General features: G+C 38.2%; 1 long non-coding RNA gene across 2 annotated transcripts in view, besides 1 other annotated feature; it reads left to right on the top strand.

Annotated features, from left to right (window-relative positions):
• Window positions 1235-1736: an enhancer, noted in NCBI's record as "NANOG hESC enhancer chr8:91581326-91581827 (GRCh37/hg19 assembly coordinates)". NCBI's record gives its function as "activates a minimal SCP1, AML or CMV promoter by ChIP-STARR-seq in naive H9 embryonic stem cells {active_cell/tissue: H9 hESC(naive)}" and the evidence as "EXISTENCE:reporter gene assay evidence [ECO:0000049][PMID:30033119]".
• The window catches only part of LOC124901975 (uncharacterized), a 267232-nt gene continuing 264441 nt past the window's right edge, over window positions 8494-11284 (top strand). The window contains exon 1 of one of the 2 annotated variants that reach the window (XR_007061003.1): window positions 8494-8605. This is a non-coding gene — a long non-coding RNA (uncharacterized LOC124901975). The remainder of the gene's footprint in view (window positions 8606-11284) is intronic. The other variant, XR_007061002.1, reaches the window with a different exon arrangement.

The raw sequence follows: 11284 nt of genomic DNA, 5'->3' as shown, positions 1-11284 counted from the left end.
TCTTTTCATTTAATTATTTTATTTTTTCTTTTTATTTGGATTTGTCATAAGATCTTAAACAAAAGTACAGTCATATACTGCCTAATAATATTTTAGTCAATGATAGACTGCGTATACAATAGTCCCCTAAGATTATAACGGGCTGAAAAATTCCTATCTCTTAATGACCTCATAGCCATTATAACACTACAGCACACTTATAGTGAGTGCCTTTTGTTTTTAAAGTTTGGTGCTTACCTAAGGAAGAGAGTGAGAATTTGCCATACTTTTATTTCCAAAAGTTGTATTGAAACAATACAACTGATTCCACGTGCGTGGTGGCGCATGCCTGTAATTCTAGCTACTTGGGGTGGCTGAGGCAGGAGAATTGCTTGAACCTCATGAGGCGGAGGTTGCGGTGAGCTGAGATCGCGCCATTGAGCTCCAGCCTGAGCAACAAGAGTGTAACTCCGTCTCAAAAAAAAAAAAAAAAAAGCTTAAATACCCTTAAATTTACATGGGAATTAAGAAATTGTTTTAATACTTAGCACTAATATATTATGATTACATGTTTGAAAAAATAAAAGTTTAGAAAAAAATTGAATGAAATTGAAATAGTAATGTGTAAATACTTACATTATCTGGACATGGTAATATTATAAGACTTTCTTTTTGTCATTGAATTTTCCTAAAACTTAATAATTTGATATTTCAAAATCTCTACCATAGGGTAGAGATTTTGTTTGCCTTATTTATTGTGATATCCTCAACATCTATTAGAATGCCTGCCCAGTAAAAATTGTTGAACAAATGAATTACGCACTGGAGGACATACTGAAATCTTCTGGTAAAGCTTCATGTGTTTTTTTTTTGTTTTTTGTTTTTTGTTTTTTTTTTTGAGACGGAGTCTCACTCTGTTACCCAGGCTGGAGTGCAGTGGCATGATCTCGGCTCACTGCAACCTCCACCTTCTGGGCTCAGGCAATTCTCCTCTCTCTGCCTCCTGAGTAGCTGGGATTACAGGCATGTGCCACCACACCCGGCTAATTTTTTGTATTTTTAGTAGAGATGGAGTTTCACCATGTTAGCCTGGCTGGTCTTGAACTCTTGGCTTCAGGGGATCCACCCACCTTGGCCTCCCAAAGTGCTGGGATTACAGTCGTGAGCCACCATGCCTGGCCACCTCATGTGTCATTGATTCTGCAGCAGCCTTGGTAGGATTTTAATCTCCACTGTCATCAGTATTTTCAAAGTCAGAAAAGATATATTTGCTGATGGCAGAATTTCACTGGCACAGAATAGGAAGAGAGTTTCTCTCTCTCTCTTTCTCTCTCTCTCTCTCTGTGTGTGTGTTTTGGGATCAATAGTGTAGTGCAGGCAAAAATTTACCTCTGCCCTTCTAGGGTCTCTGCTGGGCTTGAGAATTAAATTGACGTAAGATAAATTAACAAGAGAAAAGCGTATAAATTTAACATATTTTACATGACACAGGAGCCCTCATGAGAAAATGAAGATAAAAAAAAAAGCAAGGCTTACATGATTTTGTAAAGAGGCAATTGTGGAAAAGTATCTAAATTTTGTGGGGAGGCCAAAGGGAGATAATTCTTTTAACAAGGTCTGTTTATACGGAATTATCTCGGCTATGAGTCTTCATGGAAGAATGTTTCTTTTCTCTTGGCACAGGGAGGGCATCTTCCACATGATAGTTTTTATCTCCTACCTTCAGGGAAAAGAAAGGGAAGATTAGAATACATGTAATCTTCTTGAATCTGCTCTTTTTCAAGTGCCTCTGGCTTGAAGTGATCCTTATGTCAAAGTGGCATATTTGGGGGTGGCATAGCCTGCCACCCTTCAGTAGTGTGACTCAAAGCTGAGTCAGAAAAGTGCATGGTATTTTGAGGGGTAGGGAGCAAACCTTTGTTGTCAGGTAACCCTATAAGCACAGCATGGGGAAAGGGTCTGTCTCCTAGTCTTGCTAGTTCTCCCAAGAGGCATCTTAAGTTGTGCAGAACTCTCAGAATTCTCATATGACCCTTTTGAAAATCAGCAGAGGCCTCTATCAGAATCAGTGAAAGCAGGTGTGCTTTCTAGACCTTAGAGAGACATGGAAGATGCCAGGATCAGGTCCTGGAGAATTTCTGTTTCAAAATGTGCAGTCTCTAGTTTTTTTTCCAAATGAGCTTGAGTTGGAATCTCAATAAGTGGATCCACGTGCCAGTCAAACAAACCAGGTAAAAGTGATTCAGATGGGAAATCTTCTGGGTAAGAAAACTGAATAAGGAATAAAAGAATTTACCCCAGGCAAAACTGACATTATGTTCATTCTTTAAAGGCTCACATATAAACAGCGATTAACAGAGATCCCACAATGCTGGACACTGTGAGAGAAAGATTTACTTTTAGTAGAAATGCACTTACATTTCTTGTTATGCTTGGAAGCAGGGCAGCTAATTCATCCTTAGGAAAATCAAAGAAACATTTGGGAGGAAGGAAACATTGACAGTACCACCAACTGACCCCTTTAAGAACTATCTATAGTTATCTATAATTAGTCAATAAATGATCAGAAACATGTGAGTTCTTTCTTATTTGGTTGAGGAATGTGGCCTTGAGAGCACAGAAAAGCCCTAACATTTAAGTGTGTGAGCAACATGGGAAGAAGGCAAAATGGCCAGTGACCAGGACAGAAAAGACAAACTTATGCAATGGCATGATTTTACATAACCTGGGTTCTCCTAGTACATGGCAGGGATTAAGTTACCAGGTTCACACAAGCTCCACCTGGGATACCAGTCCCGATTAATTTTTCATGGCTTCCTGCAGCACAGCATTGAGATATAAGATGATAAAGATTTCAGCTGTGTAAGAGACTGTGGACAACGTGTTAATGTCTGTCTGGAATAAGGGAGGGGGAGTGTTGATGCAGTGTTTGCCAGTGCTGAATGGAAGCTTGGTGGAGCTTTTTTGTCATGAATGAATTAGAAGCACAACTTGCAAAGTTTGCTTTTACAAGTATTGAATACGGACAACTTATTTTTTACCACATATTTTACTTCTTGTACATTAATCTTTTTTTTTTTTTGTTGTTGTTGTTTTGAAATGGAGTCTCGCTGTGTTGCCCAGGCTGGAGTGCAGAGGCACGACTTTGGCTCATGCAACCTCCACCTCCTGGGTTCAAGCAATTCTCCTGCCTCAGCCTCCCAAGTAGCTGGGATTACAGGCACCCACTACCAAACCTGGCTAATGTTTGTATTTTTAGTAGAGATGTGGTTTCACCATGCTGGCCAGGCTGGTCTCGAGCTCCTGACCTCAGGTGATCCACCTGACTAGGCCTCCCAAAGTGCTGGGATTACAAGCGTGAGCCACTGCACTCAGCCACATTAATCTTAAAGTTTCAGCAAAGCAGATATGACGTGCTTGGTTTCCCTCATTAAAAAGCTCAGGAAGATATTAAAACCCTGTAAAACTATCCTTTGCGGGCTTTGTGTACTGAATTGAGGTAGTGAATGCATTTTTCTTCTCATTACTCAAGGAAAACCTCACTATTTGGTGGCAGTTACGACAAGTGTATTCCCCAGAAGCTATAGCACATTAACTGGGTGACCAAGGTTAGAATGTTCACCAACGGCAGCCCCTGTGCTGCTTCACTTGTTCTGCAAATTCAGTCTCTGGAGATCCCCATATTAAGCTTTCTCCGAATCCTTGATTATTACAGTTTGGAAGTTTCTGTTCAGGCTACCACTCTCCCTTCTGAATTGCCCTTTTATTTCTTGCCCACTCCACTCTCCAGGTACCAGGGTCTTCATGGGCTCTCCCAGGTAATCCACATGTATGGCTCTTTCATGGATCCTTCATCTCACCCTTTATTCCCCAACATGACCGATCTAGTCTCCTCCCATTCTTGTCAGTGGCCTTTTTGAACTAGCCCCAAAAGAGCCACCTAACAAACATATTCATTCTAAGGCATTAGCAACAACTGAATGTGTTGTCCTTCCATTCTAAGAGGTGAGCAATGAGTTAGACAGTACCCTACTCAGTGTCATCCCATCATGTGAGTTCTTTCTTATTTGGTTGAGGAGTGTGGCCTTGAGAGCACAGAAAAGCCCTGAACATTTAAGTGTGTGAGCAACATGGGAAGAAGGTAAAATGGCCTTCTTCCATTGGTCATGCCCTAGCCAATGTCATCCCATCAAGTGATGGGAAGAGGGCTATTTGGGCAGAGGGCACACTGATGTGGCCTCTGTTAAGGCATAAAACCTACCGTCCCACAGGATATATTGACAATTAGGGGTCACAAGTTCTTACTGCAAAACACTGATGAGCAGAAATGTTCTGTTTTCTTCCTAGAACGATGTGTCAACATAAGCTGAAATCAGAAAATCAGAAACAAAATATCTTTATTTTATTTTATTTTATTTTTTTACTTTTCAGTACAGCAGGAAGCTTTTGTAAATGACTGAAACATAAGTTTTTCAAGGTTTCCCTTATGTCTTGGTTCCCGTAACACAGGAAAATCTTCAAAACATTTTAGAAAAAAGGCAAGTTGTCTGTGAAGAAAGAGTTTTAAAAACTAAAGAACTTTATACAGAAACCATTTGAAGGATGGGAAGAGGCTAACAGCAAAAAAAAAAAAGTGAAGATTTAACTTGGAAAGCAAAGCAAAAAATAGATGCGAACAACTAGAAAAGAAAAGAACAAGCAGTTGAACATTAAGCCACTTCCTTTTTAGAGATTAAATACAAACCTGAACACTGAGAAAAAAAAGCAAAAAGAAGAAAAGAAAGAAGAATTTAGAAGTCTTTAGAAAAAGGGCATTAGATAATATTATGCTATAAATGTTTTGAATTTTTATTTTGTCTGAAATTTTTTTAAATATATGGCATCATACTTAGGGTTCCACTGAATTGCTTTTATTGCAACATTTTAAATTTCTGTTGAAAATTTAATCCAGTACCTGACTTAGTCCCTTTATGAAGAGAAGCAGCCCTAGGACAGGACATGACTAGGAGGAAGGAAAATGGAAAATAGAGGAAATTAAAAAAAAAATCACAATACTGGCTAGGCAGGTTGGCTCATGCCTGTAATCTCGGCACTTTGGGAGCTGGAGGCAGGAGGATCACTTGAGCCCAAGAGTTCTAAACCAGCCTGGACAACATAAGACTCCATCTCTACAAAAAAAAAAAAAATAGCTAGTCATGGTGGCATGCACCTCTAGTCCCAGCTACTTGGGAGGCTGAGGTGGGAGGATTACTTAAGCCAGGGAGGTCAAAGCTGCAGTGAGCCGTGATTGCACCACTACACTCCAGCCTGGGCAACAGAGTGAGACCATGTTAAAAAAAAAAAAAAAAAAAAAAGAGAGAAAGAAAGAAAAGAAAGGAAAGAAAGAAAGATAACAGTACCACAATTATAAAAGTTTACTTGCAACATGTGGAAGGAAGTACTGGGTAGTGGTTAGCATTTTTGTAGTTAGAGATCTTGATTTAAATTCAGACTGGCGCCTGATGGTAGTGTGGCCTGTGGACAACTTACTTAAACTTTTCTGTCTGCTCAGCTGTAAACTCTCTGCCTGGAATGGTGTCTGTCACACAGAGGGAATGGAATTAATGTTTGTTGAATGAATGAATAAAAGACTCATACAACATGCATAATTCTTTCCTAATGGGATTGTGGTAAGGATCAAATTAGACAATATCTAGTAGCTTATGACTATTAGAATATATCAAATATATCTGGAATTGAAACTGGCCTATATGTTGGGTAATGTAGAGTTACACATGCAAAGGGCAGCTTTTCCTAGGCCCTTGACACGTGTTCTAAGATCCAAAGTTATACCTGGGCATGTGTGGCCTCAGAGCTTCTGCTGTGTTGTCACCTCATGGATGGGTCATCTGTACCTCACAATCTTTAACACCCCTGCCCTGTGGATTATTATATACCTCATCCCATAACAGAGTGTATAGATGAACGATGTATAATCCCATATACGGTGATTAGGGAATTATTACTAAATGAAAATGAGAGAAAGCTAACAGAGGGTGAGAGGGATGTTAGGGTATCATTGCCTGGAATCCCTTTGCAACACATGCACCTCTTGACCCTCACTACAACATCCTTCTCTTGCCAGTCCAGCACAGTGGAGGTGTTGCAGGTTGCCAGCCCTAGGTATGCCCCCTCCACGTTCAGATCACACATTTTGTTAAGGTACAAAATCCTTGTTTTCTTTCTTTCTGTCTCCTTAAACTTAGGTGTAAATCTTTCTTTTTTCTTCAACTTTAATTTTAAGGTCATGGTTACACGTGTAGGTTTGTTACATGGGTAAATGTGTGCCATGGTGGATTGCAGCACAGATCATCCCATGACCTGGGAATTAGACCCAGCATCCATTCAAAATCCTAGTTCTCTTATAAATCTAGTCATCATTTCCTGAGGTAAAACCAACGTGGGTGAATGTGGAGTATGGATAAGTAAAATTACATGAATTCAAGGAAGTTTGTCATTAAGTGAACAAAAACTGACACAGTACGCAGGAATTCCGATAAGGGATAAAATCCTTAGAGTGAACGTGGAGTTAGCACAGTATCTGCACATCCTTCTTAACCTTTAAGACTCTGCTTCATAATTGTAGAGGCAACAAGGTGGGCTGAGCAGATATGGAAACTGCCACTCCATTCCTCTGCCCTGCCTAGGTCTATACACAGAGAAACACTGGATAAAGTAGATATTAAAATATTACATCTTAGATAAGTTCAACTGAAAGAACAGGAACAAATTAGGAGTCTGATGCAAAGAGAAAACTCAAAGCCATTTTGATGAATGAAAGTGGATGCCAAGTAGTCCTTTGTGGTATGTGTTATGGACTGGTCTCCCAACACCTACAAGGTGTTAGGAAGTTGGCATTGGACTCCTTAAATAGTGGAGCTTTCAAGGAATTGTGTAGTTCATGAATTATGAGTAAATTAACTGTATTCATTAGTAGCAATTCTTGGGCACAGTTGGATGCCAGATGACTGTACTAGACTGTGATAAACAGGCATCCACAAGAAATGTGAGCACCTAAGACTGTGGGTGGGGCATGGATACACACTACTTGCCAGGGCAGGGACTTGGCTGAGAAGCCAGTGTTGAAACTAGCATGGAACCAATGAAACTCACAAAACTTTGCTAGAGGCACATACCAAACTGCCCTAGGCAGGAGGCTACCTGCCCCCCTCATTTCAAAGCAGAGGAAGCATTTCCACAACTTCTGCCAGAAATGAGCTCAGTCAAGTAATATAAAAAAAAACTCACCACCAATAGAGGTTCAAAACACAGAACAGCTGTGACCATTCACGTGCAGAATCTACAGACTGTTGAATTATATGAAAGGAATTTTTCAAATAAATATTTTAAATCAGAGAAATGAATGGGACCTACGAAATAAATTCAGGATATTGGGGAAAAGCACAATTGGATTTATTAAGAACATAATAGTTCTAAAAATGGAAATATGATAGTTGAAGTATGATGATTGAAACTTAAACTAATTAATACATAAATGGTAGGCTAGACCCACCTAAAGAAAGCATTTGTGAATTAGAAACTAGATTTGAGGAACTCACTCAGAATGCAAAATAGTGGAAAAAAGAAATGGAAAATATGAAAAAAATTATAAGATGAATAAATTAAGTTAAAAAGTTAAACATAAGCATCAGTAGAAGTTCCAAAGGTGAATGGTAGGAGAACAGGGTACAGGCAGTGTTCAAAGTGATAATGGCTAGGAGTTTCCAGAACTGAAGAAAAGTAGATGGGGCAGAGGAAGGATTTACATCAGAGCTTAGATTTTTCGAAGACCCTCACCTGATCCCACGAATTGGGTTGGCTGCCCTTGATCTATGCTCCAATTTTATGTATTTTGTCATTATCCCTGACACTCTAGGCTCAGGAGTGGTTTCTTATTTATCATGTACATCAAGTCCCTAATATCCTTGGCACATAAAAGGAGCTTAATGAATATATGTGGAGGAAGCAAAGAAGAAAGAAAGGAGAGAAGGAAAGAGGGAAGACAATGGAAGGAGGGAGAAAAGGAGGGAAGAATAAAGGCCTGGGTGAAGGAGGAGGAAGAGAAGGAGGAGGAGGAGCCTTAAAAACTAAAACAACTCCTGGAAACAGTTACACATATATGTGTGTATGCATATACCGAACATATATATATATATATATATATATATATATATATACACACACACCCATACATATCCACACATACACTGGGTATTGCATAACAAAACTTACAGTTTCACATACAAGCCTATTAAAATTTTTACATAAAGGACTTTATTTCCAGAGAGGTGGGAAAACAATTTCCAAAGTTGGAAATGCTATATACTCAACATCTTTTCAAAGTTCAGCCATGAAGAATAGTAACAAGTAACCAGTTGTATCAAACACAAGTACAAAAGTTAACAAGTGCCGTGAACGCTTAGTACTAATTTGGTAAATGACATCCTGCCTGACTTTTTTTTTTTTTTTTTTGAGATGGAGTCACCCAGCCTGGAGTGTAGTGGTGCCATCTCAGCTCACTGCAACATCTACTTCCCAGGTTCAAGCAATTCTCCTGCCTCAGCCTCCCAAGTAGCTGGAATTACAGGTGGGCACCACCACGCCTGGCTAACTTTTGTATTTTTAGTAGAGACAGGGTTTCATCATGTTGGCCAGGCTGGTCTCAAACTCCTGACCTCAAGCCATCTACCTGCCTCGGCCTGCCAAAGTGCTGGGATTACAGGCGTGAGCTACCACACCTGGCTGGTGCCTGACTTTTGAATGTATCTTGAAGATTTGGGTGATTGAAGTATTTTAACTTTCTATTCAAAGTTGAACCAAGCTGTATCTGCATACCATTTAAAAGCTAACATATTCTACCCCCAGATACTCTGACTTCTCAGCAGTGGTTGACAAGATAAATGCTGATGTTCAATTTATAAAATAATTTTCTTTTTTAAGAGTGAAAATTTGAAGTTATAAAAGTCATGAGAAAAATGTTTGTGGAGGAATTTCAGTATATTTTATTGAATAAACTTTATTCTTTCAAAATAAATTTTAATAAATGTCATAGAAGTATTTGAGGAATAAACTTCCACATATTGAAGACCTCTGTGTAATGTTCTCCAGTGGTGATTCAAGTACATCATATCCTTTAGTCTTCTCCCAAACCCCCCACTTTAGAGATGAAGAAATTGAGACCAAATGTGCTGTGTATATTGCCTAAGGTCACACAGTAGAAAAAAGTAAAGTTGACATAGGCGTGGCTGTCTTCGGATCTCTTCCTCTGTGCTTTGTCAAGTACAGATGTCATAGATTTATTGCCTGGATTGTTGTAACAGTCTGTGTGAGCCATGTTTGATATATTAACATGAGTACTGTGAACATTTAATGTGATATTCTTTCCTGTCCAGCAATGAGGGAGTAAGTGATTGTGAATCCACCCTCCTGCTGTAAACTAAAATGAAACCAGATCAAATACATAAAGCAACTCTTTCAGACTTTAGATATAGGCCACACAGGACCATGTTCCCTAAGAAAGAAGAAACACCTACCTAAGTGAGTCAACAATCATTCTATTCTTTTGTCTGGAAGCAGTTTTTGGACCAAAGCGGGGGTTATAGAATCCAAGCAGATCATGGAGGTCTCACTAAGCTGATGGGGAGTTCAGACAGTGGAAAATCTGGGATGAATTCTAGAGTGTTGGATTGGAATTCAGGTTTTAATGTGAGCTCATGGTTTATAATATAGAAATAAATGTAGATGTAAATATGTGTTTGTATATACATATATATTTTTCAGTCTTATCTACTGAGTGGGATTGGGAGCAGCAATAATCCAATTCTGATTAGCATAACTAGAGCCTAAATCTTGTCTTCCAACTACCATTTTCATCTAAAAGGAACTAGGGCTTCCTAAAAGAATGGTCAATTTCGGGGCTGGATCAGGAAAAGTACAACACAAGCCTAAGTTATCTTATTGTGCCAAAAAGTAACAAAATGTCAAAGAATGCAAAAGCTTAATGACAATAAAAAGAGAGAGAGAAGAGAGAGAGAGAGAGAGACAGAGACCCTCTCAAAAACTGCAAAAGCTCCTACTGGTCTAAGCAGGGATAATTTGACTGTGAAAATAAATGTAGTCAGTAATACATTTTAGCTCATTGAATTAAATAAGAAACCATGAGACCATAAAGATGTAAATAAATTAGTGAATCAATAAAAAGTTTAGTGAAGAATAGCATATTTGCGTAGTTTCAAAGTAACTTCTCACAAAATACATATTAATTACAAATTGGAAAGAGTAATGTCACCTGGCAGACAGGATCCTAAACAAGCGATCAAAGTGCACATCATGAGAGGAGGAAACAATTGATCTTGTGCACTCTCTGATAGGAAGCAACAAGAACACAGTACTACCTCTGATATTCCTGCCAAAGACATAGCACCCAAATGTAATGAGGAACAAGCATTAGACAGGTCCAAACCAGGGGGCTTTCTACAAAATAATTGGCCTGTAAATGCCAAAAGTGTCAAGCTCATGAAAATCAAGGAAATTTTGAGAAAATTTTCCAGACTAAAGCAGACTAAAAAAAAATGACTAAAAATAATGTAATGACTGTTTCTCAACTGAGTCCTCATTCTGTAAAGGTATTACTGGAACAATTGAAAATTGGCCCTGAGTATTCAATGGTAGCGATATGTCAGTATCACCTTCCTGATTTTGATGGTATTATCTAGCTTATATAAGATTGAAATAATACAAGTTTATTTTCTGACCACAACACAGTTAAAATAGAAATCAATAGCAAAAAAAAAAAAAAATTCCTGGAAAAATCCTAAAGTATTTTGAAATTAAATAACATGTTTACAAATAATCCATGAATCAAGAAGAAATAATAAGAAAATTATTAAAATTTTTCAAAATGAATAAGAATGCTAACAAAGTTACAAGTTAGTAAAATTGAGAAAAGAAGTAAAAGCAAATATTGATCTGTTTAATGAAAATCTGTATTTATTACAGAGGTTGAATTTATAATAAAAGCTTTTCCAAAAAAGAAAATTCCAGGCCCAAATTGCTTTGCTGGTATATTCTACAAAATATAGTAGAAAAAAGTAATATAAGTCTTCTGTAAACTCTTTCAGAAAATAGAGAAAAAAGAATTCCCAATTTATTTTAGTAAACCAGCATAATCGTGGTAACTAAACCAGAGAGGGACATTACAAGAAAAAAAAAAATTATGGATCAGTATCTCTCCTGAATATATCAGTTGAATGAAACACTTGGTATC

Source organism: Homo sapiens, chromosome 8 (assembly GCF_000001405.40).
Source record: "Homo sapiens chromosome 8, GRCh38.p14 Primary Assembly".
In the NCBI taxonomy this organism is placed as follows: domain Eukaryota; kingdom Metazoa; phylum Chordata; class Mammalia; order Primates; family Hominidae; genus Homo; species Homo sapiens.
Note: the sequence above shows the minus strand (reverse complement) of the source record. Positions and strands in the feature narration are given on the sequence as shown.